The sequence below is a fragment of the Homo sapiens genome, chromosome 13, assembly GCF_000001405.40.
Source record: "Homo sapiens chromosome 13, GRCh38.p14 Primary Assembly".
Lineage (NCBI taxonomy): Eukaryota > Metazoa > Chordata > Mammalia > Primates > Hominidae > Homo > Homo sapiens.
The window spans coordinates 65,315,292-65,333,009 of record NC_000013.11 but is presented as its reverse complement, the minus strand read 5'-3'; positions in this window follow the sequence as shown (position 1 = coordinate 65,333,009).

Sequence of the window (17,718 nt, the reverse complement as noted above, 5' to 3'; positions counted from 1 at the left end):
TTCAAAGTAATGTTAGATAGCATGTGCTGAATACATATTGAGAAATAAATGAACCACTGTCTCTTTATGTTTTGTGCATTTTTAATAAACTTTTATAGAAAAATATTGTACCTTATTTATTTATTTTTATTTTTTTGAGACAACATCTCACCATGTTACCCAGGATGGAGTACAGTGGAATGATCATGGCTCACTGCAGCCTCAAATTCCTGGGATCAGGTTATCCTCCAACCTCAGCTTCCCAAGTAGCTAGGACTACAAGTGCATGCCACCACATCCAGCAAATTTTTATATTTTTTTGTAGAGACAGTGTTTTGTCAGGTTACACAGGCTGATCTTGAACTCCTAGGCTCAAGCAATCTGCCTGTCTCTGCCTCCAAAAGTGCTGGGATTACAGGCATGAGCTACCGTGCCCAGCCTGTGCTTCATTTAATTTGCATTTTTGTTACTAGTGTGCTTGAAAGGTTTTCTTTTTTTGGTGTATTTGTGTATGTGTGTGTCTGTGTGTGTGTGTGTGTGTGTGATTGTGATAGAGAGAGAGAGAGAGAGAATTAATGTTTTAGGTTTTTGTTTTTGTCTTTTACATTTTTCTTAGTGAGAAATCCTCATAAATCGGGTGGGTAGAAATATAGATTAAAAAATATATTTTAGACCATCCCTCACTCTACATATCACATAGTTTTTCTTTACCATAAATACAACTTTGATCATTGATAAAATGTACTTTTGGTAAATAAAAGCGAGAGGTTTTTTGAGTTATTAGCACCTAAATATATGAATTAGCTCAAATTGTCTTGCCTGGTATACAAAAGCGATATGCTATTATGATACTAAAATATTAACTTAGATAGTTTTCAGCATGGCCCTGAACACCTCTCTCCATCATGGAAGTACCAGGATGAAAAGAAAGACAGTTACTGCTCAATTAAATGAGTCAAAATCTGAGACAATTTACTCTTAACTAGAAAATGAGAGCTACTATGAAAGCTAATTAAAGAAAAGAGATTGATAAATATTAAGCATCAGAGAGGGTTGAAATCAAGAAAGTAAAATTCTAAGTTCAAGGATTCGACTTTGCTACTGATTTTTGGTTATCTTAGTTTGCTATACCAATTCACACTCTAGTGAGTCTGAGTCAGATTGACTTTTCAATTGCTCTGAAATATCCACTCTCCACACTAGGGGAGATATGACTATGTTAACATTGCTCAAAGACCAGCATGAACATTGAAAGACATATCGTTTTTTAAATTATGAATATTATTCTTGTTTAATATCTGTGGCATTAAAATGATAACAGCAGTATTTTAATTATGTTATGATGCTAGATGGTAAAATCATAGCTTTCCAATGATATGCTCCACATGACTTAACATTAAAAAATTCAGTTCCAAATATCCTCATAAGAGAGATATTTATGTTCTACAGTTTTTTGCAGATTTACCAGAAAGCATGCCATTCATAAAGTGCAAAGGTGCTTGGATGTTTCCCACAGCTAAGGAGCCCTCTAAAAATAGATTTTCTCTTATTACCATACACATTTTAGAATAGAGATTCAATGGTAAAACCTGTTCCTCCTTTATCAACTTCTACCTTTTTTAATCTAAAATATCTGCTATACTGTAAACATAAAACTGTTATAACCCACACAAAGATAAAGCAACTTTTAAGTGTTGAAATAAAGCAGATAGAGTTCAGCAAATTAACAATTTTGACATAATATGTAATGTTTCCCTTTGGTTCATAGGAGTTGATTTTATACGTACATTTATGTGTATAAAATCATTTACATATTATATTATGTGTGTTATATATCATATATATGATATGGAAGGGAATTGCTGGAAAGGGAAGGGTGTGGTCCCTTTAAATGATCGGAAGCGGGGAAGGGAAGTGCTGGGTAGAGGAGGGCCTGGTCCCTGGCTAGGTCTCCAGCCCCAGGGACCTAGGTGAGGTCAGGCATTTCCTGCACAAATGTTGCATTTCCCAAGACCACCCTGGCCTGCCATGCCCCCATCCTCTGCCTATACAAACCCCCAAGACCGTAACAGGCAAGCACACAGGTGCCCGGATGTGGAGAGGAGCACATCAGCGGAGGAACACACGTGCGACTGGACGTATGAGGAACGCACTGCCATAGGAGTACACTGGCCATGGCTGGAGGAACAGCGCAGAGTTTGGCCAGGGCGATCGGAGGAGAACCCGGGGCGCTGAGTGGCCTGACACCAGCGGAGGACCATCTCGCTTCTTGCTCCCCCATCTACTGAGAGCTACTTCTACTCAATAAAACCTTGCACTCATTCTCCAAGCCCAAGTGTGATCTGATTCTCCCGGTACACCAAGGCGAGAACCCGGGATACAGAAAGCCCTCTGTCCTTGCGATAAGGGAGAAGGTCTAATTGTGCTGGTTAACACAAGCCGCCTATAGATGGCAAAACGAAAACAGCACCCTGTAACACACGCCACTGGGGCTTCAGGAGCTGTAAACATTCACCGCTAGTTACGGCTGTGGGGTCGGAGTCCCACGGCCTGCCTGTCTGCATGCTCCCCTAGAACTCCGAGCAGCGGGCCACTGAAGAAGCGAGTCCTACCCCCATCACACGCCCTGCGAGGGGGACAAGAGAACTTTTCCCGTTTCATATATAATTGTATATAAAAGTTAAGTTTATATGTCTATCTGTATCAACTCATATGATCCAAGCATAAGCATTACATATATATCTATTTGTATATAAAAGATCACACACATATATATACATACACACACATACACAAACATATATGTATACATGTAGTATGTGTTTCTTAACCTTACATTAAGGTTATACCTTAGTATACTTTGTATACCACAATATAAACCTTATGCTTTAGTGTAAGGTTTCTTAACCTTATTCTAAAGATTGTATGTATGTGCATTTATTTATTTGAGAATATTTTACATAACATTCTTAATGTTCTCCAGAGAATTCATTTGCACATTCAAATGCTAATGATAAGAATCATATTTTAAAAATTTCTGACCAGACACAAACAATTCGGATTTATTGGTCATTTCTATGGGCATTTATCTGTGCTGAGTTGACCTTAATTCTAAAAAAGAATATAAAAATAAACAGAGAAAGTTATGTTTTCTCATGGGCGTTGCCACTAACTTAAATTTAATCCACTCTTAATGATAATAAAAATATGACAATAAAGATATTAGCTACCATGTATTGAATCTCTACCATGTGTCAAGCATTGTAGCTTGTGCTACAGTCTTAGGAGTTAAGTTTATGTAACTTCTCTTAGAAATGTGAAAACTCAAACAAGTTAGATACCTTTCACAAGTTTATGTTTCATAACACGGTCAGAGTATTTAACTTTTAATTTTAGTAAGTAGGGTAGAATGAATCCTAGTGTTAAATCAAGGCCAATTTGCTGTCAGATATTTTATATTGAACTAAACTTATCTTGCTGCTCCTAAATAAGGACACCTACAACATGCATGATGGGTGTAGTTTATGAGGATCTTAAATATTGTATAGTCTAATATTATAGTAGAAAAATAACAATACGAATACCTTAATTCACATTCAGTGTAACAATGTTCAGTCTGGAAAGCCCTACTTGGTTCCACAGACCAGGTAGAGAGCCTCAACTCTGTTTCCTTGCAATTTGCAGAAATCATTATCATAAACTTCACAGAATGTATAGAAACTATGAAGTATCTCTTTCCTCTAATAGACTGTGAGCTTGCATTATAGCAGGGAGTTTATTACATTCATTTTCCTAATACCTCTGAACATTCTAATGTCTAATACATAATAGAATTTCAATTATTAGTGTTTAATTAATGTATTAATAGACATTAAATGCTTTAATTTTTGTATTTCTCATACATATTAAAGAATTCATTTGCTAAGTGGACATATTATCCCATGAAAAATTTGAAGCAATATTTCTGCATAAACATTTGGAAATGCCAGTGATAAAAAAGAAAACATAACCAAGGAAGAAAATTCAGATATTTACAAGTGCATTTATTTGCTTAATGGGAAGCCAGCATTTAAGGTCTGACACTTTTAGTTTCTTAAATTAAGTATTCGCCTATTCTGTCTATTTGTTATTTAAACATTTTTTTAATGTAACATTCAACAAGTACTGTTTTGCACTTGTTTTATTCCTCAGTTATTATTAAGGCATAAACATTAATAATAATAACAGAATATAGCATTTATATGATGCTTATAACAGCCTCATTTTAAGTGCTTTACATATAATCCTCACAATATTCTAAATGCTTTATAAATATTATTCCCAACAACACTGTGTTATAAGTACTATTATTATCTTTAATTTAGAGAATGGGAAAATGACAGAATTTTAAAGTGTCTGCCCCAAATTATGCTTCTAATAAATATCAGAGCTGAGATTTAAACCTGAGCAGAACGAATTTAGCTTCCATGCCCTTAAACAATAAGCCACATTGCTTTTGCTTATGTAAGAAAATCTTATTTCATTCAAAGGGTTTTACTTAATTCCCTCTTTATTATTTCAGATGGGCACATGTTTTCTTATGCTTTAAAATTCAGTCTTTAAAGAAATGTAACTAAATATCTTTTGTCAGTTCTAATCATATAAATACAAGAGTTAATTGTATTAACTTATGACATTAAAAAACTGTTATTACATAAAAATTTATTTTTTCCCAGAAGACTCTAGTGAAACATTTATTATCTAAGATTTAAAGTGCTATTATTGATCTACTTTATAGGGGAGAGTTAATCAGTTTTTATAACTTGGATTGAAATGAATTTTATAGTCTGATTTTACTCGTTATAAATAAACATCAGATTTTAAAATTTCTTAATACAGAATTAATTCTAAAACTTTTTTGTTCATGCCTATTTCTCTTCTTTCTTTCCTTCTTTATGTCTACTGTTGTCATTTAATCAGAAATAATGAAGAGATATTGGGTCAATTTGAACTGGGAAGCTATTCTGAATGGATTCAGCCTGAAATGTCTCTCGAGTGTTCAGAGCAATGAACCAATGTCCTAACAATCCTTATTGCACTTTATTGGTTCTATACTCTTCACACTTTCCTAAGCAAAATTGCTTTTCCAATTGGTTCCTTAAAAGATTTAAATTTTCATTTATATATTGGCATTTGCACAATGCTACCTAGAAAAATGTTTACTGATTATAACATAGTTTACTTGTTTAGCTCCAACAGACTTAAAGTGCTGCTTTTTATGAGAACTGAATTGTCCTTCAAATTCAGTATTTATATCATTGAACTTCAGAAAAATTGCAATGAGTAAAGTGAAGAACTGAAAAAACAGAAAACAAGTCAGTAATAAGATGGAAAGCTGAATTTTTTTCTTTGATGAAGAGTATCGCAGCTCAGTTCTGCTCCTTTTATTCTCAGTCATTATTTTTCTATTCCACACCCTTCAGTGGTTTCAACATTTGTACATATTAAAGTTATATTAAAGTCCAAGTATCTCACTATATATATAGTCAAGTATTTGAGAAACAGATGCTGAGACAAAGATTCATGTGCAAGTAACTTGGTGAGAAAGTAATATCAAAAGAAATTGATAGGGAAATGGAGGAAGCAAAGGAGAGAAAGAGAAGTCAAGTGAAGATGCAATTTCTTTTTTTTTTTTTTTTTTTTTTTGAGACGGAGTCTGGCTCTGTCACCAGACTGGAGTGCAGTGGCGTGATCTCGGCTCACTGCAAACTCCACTTCCCGGGTTTAAGCGATTCTTCTGCCTCAGCCTCCCCAGTAGATGGGACTACAGGTGCCCGCCACCACGCCCACTAATTTTTGTACTTTTAGTAGAGACAGGGTTTCACCATGTTGGCCAGGATGGTCTTGATCTCTTGACCTCGTGATCCGCCTGCCTCAGCCTCCCAACGTTTTGGGATTACAGGTGTGAGCCACTGCTCCCAGCCGAGGAGGATGCAATTTCAATCAAAAACCTTTATCACAGCTTGATCACATGAAACTCTGTAACATAAAGTATACCTCGGTGTTTGTCCTCCCTGTAGGCAAGCGTGCTGGACTTGTGGGGTGGGTGCTGAGAATCACTGTGAATAACACACAGGATCAGTTGTCAATTAGATGCACACTAATGAGAGATCTTACCCAGTTTAAAGCTTTAGTAGTAATGTTAATGATACAGAACATCAAGAGGCCTCAACCAAGCAGAAAGAAGTCTGGGATATTGTCAACAGCTCCCCTTGATACCTATAAGGCATTCACCTCTGGTCTAGAATAATAGGTATTTAAGTGAGGTTTCTGGAGTTACCTCACATAGTAAAATAAATATTTAAATGACAAGAAAAACTAATGTTATACCTCAGAAAGGCTAGTACCTTATGTGATATCCATCAGGAAGCTATGCCCTATTGATTATGGGTTAATTTACCATGAATGGCATTTTATCTGAGGTCATTCAATAGATAAGCTCTCTTTATCCTAGGAAATACCTTTAGCTTATTTACCTGGAAGGCTAGTTGACATGAAAGTAGATTAGGTCACCTGCTTTTGTTCCTTTACCTCAGGATAGCCCAGAGTGAGTGAATCATAGACCAATTGGTTTAGCATCTTCCTTCCAAGGTAAAAGAGATTTAAAGAGATCTAGACAGAGAATTGATAGTAACTAGTGCGTGGAACATCATAACCAGACCCCAATCTACATTCCAGACTCCTTCCAATGCCTGACCTGTACATTATACTCCAACTCTAACAAACTAATCGAATTTCTTTAAATAAAATTTGCAGATCTTATTTCTTTCCTCTTGAGTGTTTTTTCTTAAGTAGTGTTGTATGGGAGAACTGCAGATCTCAATGCTAATATGATTTCCATTGTGGAGTCCTCTTCAGACTCACAGGAACCAGATGGTCATCCTTCTCTGTATTACCACTTTGTATTATTTTTAGTATAGCATCTATCATAATTGTGTTAGAATATGATAGATGCTATACTAAAAATAATGTAGAGTGGTGATACACCTAAGCAAATACTTAGATGAAAATAATTTGAGTATATAAAGTTTTTTTGGATCACTGATTTAGATTCTGAACATTTTCCTAAGACACATAATGCATTTTATTTCTATAAAGAATATGGCACCAAAAATCCCTGAATCTCAATCAAGGGCTGAACACTCTGCTAAAAAGATATTAGTTTATTGACAATAGACTATTTGATTGATCATTTCACATTTGGTGCTCATCTTAATCACTGAATATATATTTGGTGTGGGAAGGTAATTTTTAATACATTTCATATCCCTTTACTTAGAGTCTGAGCTCTCTTTTCCCCAAGTAAGTAAACCACATTCATCATCAAACATCTTACTTCCTATTGGATTTCTTTTTTCATTAAACAAAGAGTTCACTTTACTATAGGCCAGATACTGATCTCAGTATCTGACACACAGTGACTCTACGAACACTCACTGCAAGCCAATTAAGTATTTTCTACTGTTTTCTCCATGTTAAAAGTAAGAAACCCAATGCCTAGAGGGCATGTACATTTCTCAAGGTTGCAAAACTACTAAATATAGCACGAAGATCCCACATAAGCAGCCTGATTCTAGAGTTCCCACTTATTTTTTGTTTTAGTTTCTGATTTTGTTGTTTTATTTCAGTTACCAAAAAATAAATATATGCTCATATATGTGGATGCGTATGTGTGTGCATGTGTGCATATATGTATTAAGCACCTAGTCTCTATCAACCTAAGACGTAAAATGTTATAAATGTATTTGAACCTTCCTGTATTCTTTCCAATCATATCTTTCTTCCCACCAATCATAACCTCTATTTGATTACTTATTGCCATTCCTATCTCTCTACTCTACTCCACATGTATCTTTAAACAATGTATATTAATGTTTTGTTGTAAACATTTACATATATGTTTTCATACTGCATGCATTTTCTACAAGTTACTTTTTTTCCTCAGTTTGGTGTTTCTGAGATTAGTTTAACTTTCAAAGTTAAAAGTTAAACTTTAAACTTTTTTGTTTATTTGTATCTCAAATGAATATGTCTAAACTTTTTTTCCTCACTCTACTTTGGGTTCCCTATTTTGGTGAATTACACAATTTGTCTTATTCCCATTATAAATCTAATCATTCTCATCTCCTCTTCATTCACATCCTTCCATCCAGCTGAGGTCAGGAACTCAATATATCTACTGCCTTAAAAACCCTTAGATATGTTCCAGCTTCTTTATCGTGCTGTTTCTTTCTTTATCTAAACTCTCATTGTTTTAGCTTGGGAGACACACCTCTAGATATGATGTTTCAAATCCAGTGCATTTATTGGTAGTACACAGATACTTGTAAACACAAAATTAATCATATTATTCCATGGCTAAAATTTTAAAAATTACTTCCCACTTACTATACAATAAGAACATGCATGCTATAATACCATGCATTTGTATTCCCAAAACATTAAAAGAGGTTGGTGTCAAAATACTCCTTTATGGGTTAAATGAGTGATTAATGCTGAGTAAACAAAGTAGAACACATTTCTTTACTGGATTATTTCCCAGCTTGAGAAGCTAATGTGCGCTGGAAATTTCTAAGTGGAAATTCAGGCTTCATATTTTTCTATTAGGATCTCGTATTTTAAAGAAGTAATTTTTCTTATTAAAAATATTAAAAGGAATACTTACTTCACTTCTTATAGTCCTTATTAAAGCAAAAAAAAACCCACCTAAGCAGTAAAAAGCTATAGTACTTAAATTTAATAGATAAATGCCACATTATTTCAAATATATCAAACATACATCCTTTTTTGCTCTTCCTTCAAGAAAATCCTTCCTATCTTTTTGCTACTTGATCATCTTTTAAGAACAGCTGAGATGAAGGATAAACTCTTCTCTGAAAGAACAACTTATCTCTTCACTCTAATAATTGGTAACTCCCTTCATATCTTGCAACTATAATAATAATAGCAATAGAATTTACCAAAACTAGCAGCTCTCATTTTTTTAAAAAACGCAGGACATCTTCCACTTTAAAAAACACTATGGACTTCAAAGAATTTTTGTTTATGTGAATAAGGTCTATCAATTTTTTCCGGAAATATAATTATTCAGAAATTGATAATATATATATTTATTTATTTTAAAGTATCAACGATAAACTTACTACATGTCCAAATAAATAAATTTTTCATAGTTTTTGTTAAAAAGCTAAACTCACTAAAATAAACATGTAGTGAGAAGAGTTATATTTTCATTTCTGCAAACATTTTTAGTAATTGCCTTGATAAAAAACATCGTTTTAATGCTCAGATTGTCCCAGAAGTGGCCAGAGCAAGTTGCTCTAGCTGGCCCTGTAAAATAATACAGCTGTGCTTGTGACATGCTGCATTATTTTATTGAGCACCTCTTTATATCCTGGTATAACGAACTGTTCCAGGCTTCTCTTTAGGTCTCACCCTGAACTCAGTCACTTCTCACAGGAGCTTTGGCTTCTTTAATGAGGAATGGTTATTAGAAACACAAATTTGGGGCTGGGCGCAGTGGCTCATGTCTGTAATCCCAACACTCTGGGAGGCCGAGGTGGGCGGATCACGAGATCAGGAGATGGAGACCACCCTGGCTAACACGGTGAAACCCCATCTCTACTACAAATACAAAAAATTAGCCGGGCATGGTTGCGGGCGGCTGTAGTCCCAGCTACTCGGGAGACTGAGGCACCAGAATGGCGTGAACCTGGGAGGTGGAGCTTGCAGTGAGCCGAGATTGGTCACTGCACTCCAGCCCGGGGGACAGAACGAGACTCCGTCTCAAAAAAAAAAAAAAAAAAAAAAAAAAAAAAAAAAAAAAAAAATCGAGTGTTAGATATATTCTTTACTATTAGAGAGTTCTTTCTCCTAGGCCTTTTTAGTCCACACAACTCAAAAATATATATATGTCTAGTCATCCGTACATATGCATACATACATATATACAAACATACATATAGAGACATGCATACATATATATACACATGCACATAAACAGTCAATTCTCATTATTTATGGATTTCATGTTTGCGAGTTTGTCTACTCACCAAACTGTATCTGTAACCCCAAAGTCAATACTTAAGGTACTATTGCGGTTATTTGCAGAAATTCACAGAGCAGCAGAGAGACAAGCATTTTGAGTTACTGACACACAGGTTCCCAAGTGAGGTCAAACAAGGTTTGACCCTGCCTTCTTGTTTCAGAGCTCATACTGTAAACAAGTGTCTGAGGGTCTATGTAGTGTCACATGTATTTTTTTTTTGCATTTTTGTGCCTTCTGTTGTTGATTTCACTGTTTGAAACAGCACACCATGGTAGTGCTGAAGCAAGTGATGTCTAGTGTTTCTCTATGCAAAATAAGCTTAGAGTGCTATTGACCACAAGTTCAGTGTTAATCAATCAACATTATATGCTTAATAACATATATTTAAATAGAAACACATATAAAACTAGTTTATGTACTGATCTATTGATAGAACTATTGAGACTACAGACTTGGAGAAACCTAACCATGCTTTCCATCTAGGAAATTGGAAATTCAGTATGCCAACTTTATGTAACATACCTTCTGTGAATAATGAGTATTGACTATGTGTGTGTATAGGTATATATACTTTCACAAATACATACTTTAGAAATCTCAAGTTAATATCAAGGATTCCAATTCTAATCCGAGCTTTTCTTGGCCTTTCCCTATCTGTATCTGTAACTCTGTTTTTCCAAACTGAGAGCCCTGACTCCCAAGAAGATTAGCACGTTTACTTATTTTCTCAATCTTGTAATATATACAAAATAAATCCAATATAACTTAATCTATAAAACTATACACAAAACTACTGAAAAAGAATTCAGGACTTATTTGCAGTAGTCAAGTATTTCATCCTGCCCCAAATTAAAGGAATGTGGTTGACTGTCATATTCATAAATATCTTAATTATTGTTGTTTCTTTCTCTCTTTTCTTCTTTCATCAGTGGCCTCTTAGTGTTCATTTGTAAAAGTTAGGCCCATTTGTTTCAATTTATTTTTATTTTTACATTTTTGGTCTCCCCTATAATTATTTAAAATTAATTAAATTTGTTTTAAATATAAAACAAAATACAAAATGATATTCTCAGAGAAGTGTCATTTCTTTTTTTTTTTTTTTTTGAGACGGAGTCTTGCTGTGTCACTCAGGCTGGAGTGCAGTGGCAGGATCTCAGCTCACTTCAACCTCTGCCTCCTGTGTTCAAGCATTTCTCCTGCCTCAGCCTTCTGAGTAGCTGGGATTACAGGTGCTCACCCAGCTAATTTTTGTATTTTTAGTAGAGACAGAGTTTCACAGTGTTGGCCAGGCTGTCCTCAAACTGCTGACCTCAGGTGATTAGCCTGCCTTGGCCGCCCAAAGTGCTGAGATTACAGGCGTGAGCCACTGCACCTGGCCCTCATTTCCTTCATATCTCTTTCACCCCATTCTCTAGCACTTGCAGTTAACCAGGTCAATTGATTTTTGATTTATTCTTACTGATTTTCTTTTTTGTGTGTAAAGGCCAGGTAACAAATATTTTATGCTTTTCAGGTAATTTATTATAATATCTGTTATAAGTACACAGTCTGCCACTGCAATGCTAAAGTAGCTGTAGACAATAAGTAATTGAATAGACATCATTGACTCTAATACTTTATTTCTGAAAAAAGGGTATGGGCTCCATTTAGCTTGTGGGCCAGTTTGCAAACCTCTGAATTAGACTAAAGTATAAATAGGACTAAATAAATATGTGGATTGGCATGTGCTACATTAAAATAACAGATTCACATCTCATCTCATATCCAGAAATATACAAACTACCTTATTGAGATTTCTGCCTAATACCCTCAGCTTAACTCTAGATGTCCTTGTGAATAAGAATGGCAAGAATTATCACCATATTTGGTCCTATGGAGCCCAGTAAAACATTGGCATATTACTTTACTTTCATCTGCGGCTTGCTGTCAGTTTCCTTGAGTATCAAAGTATTTCATTCTCTCATTCATTAATTTAACAAATATTATATGATACTTACAGGGAAATGACAATTTTTTGAGGTCTGTATTATAGTGAAAAGGACAATTTAAGTCTCTGTCCTTGGTTGCTTACATCCTAGTGGCCCAAAACACAACAAAATATTGCTGAACTAGGCATCAAGAGAACCAGCATGATCTGACTCTGCTGAAAGCTGTTATTTGATTTGGGGCAAAGCCACTTCACCTGATCCAGTTTCAGCTGTTTAACTAGAAAAGATAGAGTTTAAGCAAGATGCCATTAATAGTTTCAATATTGCATGAATCTATGTTCTTGGGTAATGGCTGGCTCACATCCCCAGACCCACAGCCCAGTGAATTTTAAGTCTTCTGCAGGAAACTTGGCAGGCAGAATTATGGTCTCCATGAAAGTCACATCTTAGAATATGATTTTTATGTACACTGTACTTGATGAGATGTTTTAATTGGCAGACTGACAAAATTTTTTATAAGGGGCTAGGTAGGCTTCATTCTCAAAGATATAATGGTAACATTCTAAGCTTTGAAAGCAATATATAGTCTCTGTCATATATTTTTTGTTATTATACCCTAAAATATACATAAAAATTAGTTCTTGATCCATACAAAAACATTCTGTGGGTTAGATTTAACCCTTGGTTAGTTGATGGCTGACTCTTGCTCTAGAGAATTTCAGGATATTCTACACTCTTATAATTGGATGGAACCCACAGAATATCTGTTAATTGGAGATAAATTAGTGTAAAAGAGAAATAAAAGCACCATCTTCGAAACAGTTCATACACAAGTTTCTTCACTTGAAACAGAATCTATCTCTAGGGAGAATAAAGTGTAAGGGAGATGTTTTTGGAACAACATCCTAACTTGTTTTACTAGGCAATGCTTTAAGGAATTTCTAGAATTGAATAGAATGAGAAGGATAAATGTCTTTCTGGTCAGGTAGTATTTGTGTTGAGCTAGGAGACACACCAAATGTTTCATGTTTTTTATGCCACATTCCTCATAAGCTAATAACATTTTATTGTCTCACACATTGTGTCACCAGACTCTATTCTGTTTTCTTTGGATTCATACATGAAAAACACAAGGAAGAGCAAAGCTATGTAACATATGCAAAGATTCTTTATCCTGAATTGACACCTTGCTTTTCATTCCATTCAATACCAAGTTATTAAATTATAGTGGTCATCTCCAACCTTTATCTATTATAAGTGCCCATTGTTAAGGCCTATTCTCCTATGTAGACTGCACTAGAATAATATAATGGAAGACAGCTTTTTTCCCTAAAAAAGTCATGGAGTATAAAAGAAGATACATAACTACATAGAAAAATATGAAAAACAGAAAATATGCCCATCATGTAGCACACAATGTGTACTGGTATGCATTAATTTGTCATAAAATATTTGTGTGCCCAAACATAGGTTAAATAAATATTCAGAGCCTAATTAAGGAAGATTTTCTGGAGGCATACATGAAGGGTGCATATAAGGGCATGTAGTTTATGATTGCTGTATGTTAATATATGATATATATTGTTGTACGGATACAATAGAGACACCTATATGACCCTGCCAGAACCAGTTCCTTGCCACTCAGAACATTCTGATGCTTTAGGAAATTGAATGTTCTTTAAATATCCTGGAAAAACTCTGCCTTTCTAATATATTTCTGTACCTTGTGCCTCGGCATCAGCTCCCACCTTTTTTTTTTTTTTCCAGTAGTTTTCCTGTCTGTAAAATGGAGATAATGTTAATTATCCTCTCCTGGTTGCTGAGAAGATTGATTTATAATAGTAAAGCATTTAAAAATGAAAGGCACTTGTGAATGTTATTCACTGTAATATTGGCCAAAAGAAAGAGTCATTTGTCTGAAAACATGTATTATAAGCAGTGCAGTAGAATTAGCAAGGGCTGCAATTGAGAAATAATAAATTGTAGAAACAAATACAGGAAGGAAGGATTTTAAGGACTTTTTTTTCAGGGTCCAAATCTCCTAAAATGTTTAAGATTCTTCTGTTTTTACTATGCTCCTAAGAGTTTTTCTATGTCCTATATATTTAAGGAGAAAACTTTTATTTTCCATATCAAACAGAGAATCATTATCTTCAACTATAATGAGCCCAGGCTTTCTAGTTTAAGAAGTGTCTGAGTGACGACTGAAAAAAAGCATTTAATCTTTTCTAATATATAACTGCAAAAGAGTGTCTTCATTTAGTTTAATCTAAATCATATACATTATACTTTACTGTGCTAAATTATTTAAAGACTTAGTGATTATACACACAAAAATTACTGTTTTCTCAAAGACCGATAAGGAAATAGAATTGAAACAACCATGAGACATATTGATTACGTTTGTCAAAGGTATCTCTTGTGTCTCATGCTCAGACAAAAATAACGACGGCAATATCAAGGGCCTAACACTTAGATTTTATATATTCTGTATTGTAAGTACTTGGTTACAGAAAGGAACTTGTCACTGTAATTTCACTAATGTGTCATCATTTAGTTTTATTTAGTTCTACTGATTTACTGTTCTTTTTTTATTAGTAAGCCAGTATTTATTTCTGTTACAGTATCAATCAATTATAAAGCCTATTGTACAGTATTAAATATTTGATGAAACAGAATTCTATGTTCAGCTAAGATATAAAACTAAGCAATATAAGAACTTTCTGACAATGGTTATGTTCTATCTGTAAGAGAAAGCAAAACACAATTTCAGCAATTAGTCAATAAACTTTATACAGAGATGGAGAAATATAATAAGCATTTAAGAACATTGAATAGTTTTGTTAGATAATTGTGTTTACTTTCATTATTGAGTCTTCTAAGGATTCCAAGATAAATTTAGTAAAATTAGTAAATGTTGTAAATGTTAATTTAGTAAATGTTGTAAAGAGTCAAAAAAATTGATCCTATGGACTGAAGCAAAACTGCGAATAACATTCAGATTGATAAAAGTATTATTATTTCAGTGATAGTTACTTACTATTTTATTTTCAAAAGAAAGAACACATTTCTTTAAAATTAAGTTGGTCAATTATAATTTTTATGGTATTTAGAATATACTATTTGATGTGGGAGAAATATATGTATGTATAAATATAAATATATTTATAAATAAATATAAATTTATAAACATATTTATAAATAAATAAATATATGTATATAAATATGTATATGTATATATGTATAAATATATGCACATATAAACATATTTATACATGTATATATTTATACATATATATATAATATTTGCTTTTATTAGGTATATGCCTGGAATAAAGTGGCTCTGTGCAGAAACAGATATATTTCCCAAAGTTTTGTTTTGTTTTCATTTTAACTCTTCAATGAACTGTGAAAGACTTCCTGAATAGACTGCCTAAATAATTATATGCTTGCTAAAATCATGTGTAGTCATATTTTTAATAATTTATTCAAATAAGCCATTCATACTTTCATTTCATTTTCATTTTCATGTTGTGTGACATAAGAAGATCTTGGATTAATTAGCACTATTTTTCACTATCCTTCTATTAGTATTCCACTGAGGAAATGAAGAAAAGTGTTGTATTAAATTGTAAGGATTTAGGAACATTAGGCAACCATTCAGTATGCAATACTAAGATATTTCCATTAACCCAAATTATGGGTTTTCATTGACCATGCTGATAAGATAACTAATAATTTGTATTTGATAATGACACCGAAACTTAGAGTACAATAAATAACGAAAGATGAAAAAAGTAAAAAAAAGATAATATAAATATTAGCAACAAACATTGCAACAAAACAAACAAAAAAATAACCTTTCTTTGTAAAATTTAAAATGGTTAACAAGTATACTGTTAACATTGTTACTTGCTTTATAAAGTGTGAAATTTCTCTTTGTCCAGTTCCAGTTCTTATGGGTAGTGCTTTCAACTTTTTCCCAAGTGGTGTGATGTTCGCTGTGTGTTTGTCATGTATGACTCTTAATATTTTGAAGTATGTTTCTTCAATGCCTAGTTTGTTAAGGGCTTTTATCATTAAGGGATGTTGGATTTTATCAAAAGCCTTTCCTGCATATATTGAGGTAATCATATAATTTTTTGTCTTTAATTGTCTATGTGGCAAATCATATTTATCAATTTGCAAATGTTGAATCATCCTTGCATCTCTGGAATAAAATCCACTTGAATGATTTGCCTTTTTAAAATGCTGTTGGATTCAGTTTCCTGGTACTTTCTTGAGGATTTTTGCACCTACGTTCAACAGGAATATTGTGGCTGTTGGGTAGAATGTTCCGTAAGTGTCCAATAGGTCCATTTGGTCTACAGTTCAGTTTAAGTACAGGGTTTCTATGTTGACTTTCTGCCTTAATGACGTGTTTAGTGTTGTCAATGAGATGTTGACGTCTCCTCTATTATTGTATTGCCATCAGTCTCTTTTCTTATGTCAGATAGTACTTGTTTTATGAACATGGGTGCTATTGTGTTGGGTGCATTTATATTTAGGATAGCTAAATCTTCTGGTTTTATTGAACTCCTTTTGAATGATATAATGCCCTTCTTTGTCCTTTTTTACTGTTGTTGGTTTAATGTCTGTTTTATCTGATATAAGAATGGCTACTCTTGCTCACTTTTGCTTTTCATTTGTGTGACTGTGACATATTGTTTACAATCTCTTTACTTCGAGCCTGCAGATGTCTTTAGCCATTAGAGAGGTCTCTTGTAGGCAGCCGAAGGTTGCGTCTTCTTTTTTTTAAATCTAATTTGCCAGTCTATATATTTTAAGTGGAGCATATATGCCATTTATGTTCAAAGTTATATTTATATATAAGGTTTTGTTCCTGTCATAGCTTGCTAGCTAGGTTCTTTGGAGTCTCAGTTGTGTAACTGCTTTACAGGATTTGTAAGGTTTCTACTTATGTGTGATGTTATGATGGTGAGTATTTTACTTTCATATCCATGTTTAGATCTCTTTTGAGCAATTTGTGTAGTACTAGTCTAATGGTGACAAATGTCCTTAGTGTTTGCTTATCTAAGGAAATATTTAATTTCTTATTCATTTATGAAACTTAGTTGGGCAGAATATAAAATTATTTTGGCTGGCATTTTTTTTAAAGAAAGCTAAAAATAGGTCCCAATCTCTTCTGGCTTGGAAAGTTTCAACTGAGAAGTCAGTTGTTAGTCTAGTGGGATATTATTTATAGGTGATTTGACACTTCTCTCTAGCTGCCGTTAAGACATAGAGTTTCACATTGACCTTAAATAGTCTAATGACTATGTTCCTTGGTGATGTTTACCTTACATAGTGTCTTCCAGGTGTTCTCCAAATTTCTCGTATATGGGCATCTATGTCTCTAGCAAAGTTGAGAAATTAAAAAAAATTATTTCCTCAAATATATGTTCCACACTTCTTACTTTTTCTTTTTTCCCCTTAGGAATGCCTACAAGTTGTACGTTTGGTTGTTTTCCATAATCCCATATATTTGAAAGCTCTGCTCGTTTTTTTAAGTTATTTTTTTCTTTGTTTCTATTTGACTTGATTAATTCAAAAGACTGGTCTTCAGGCTCTGAAAGTCTTTCTTCTGCCTGGTCTAGTTTATTGTTAAAGCTTTCAACAGCATTATTGAAATTTCTTCAGTGATTTTTTTTTTATTTCCAGAGGTTGTGTTTGTTTTTCTAAAAA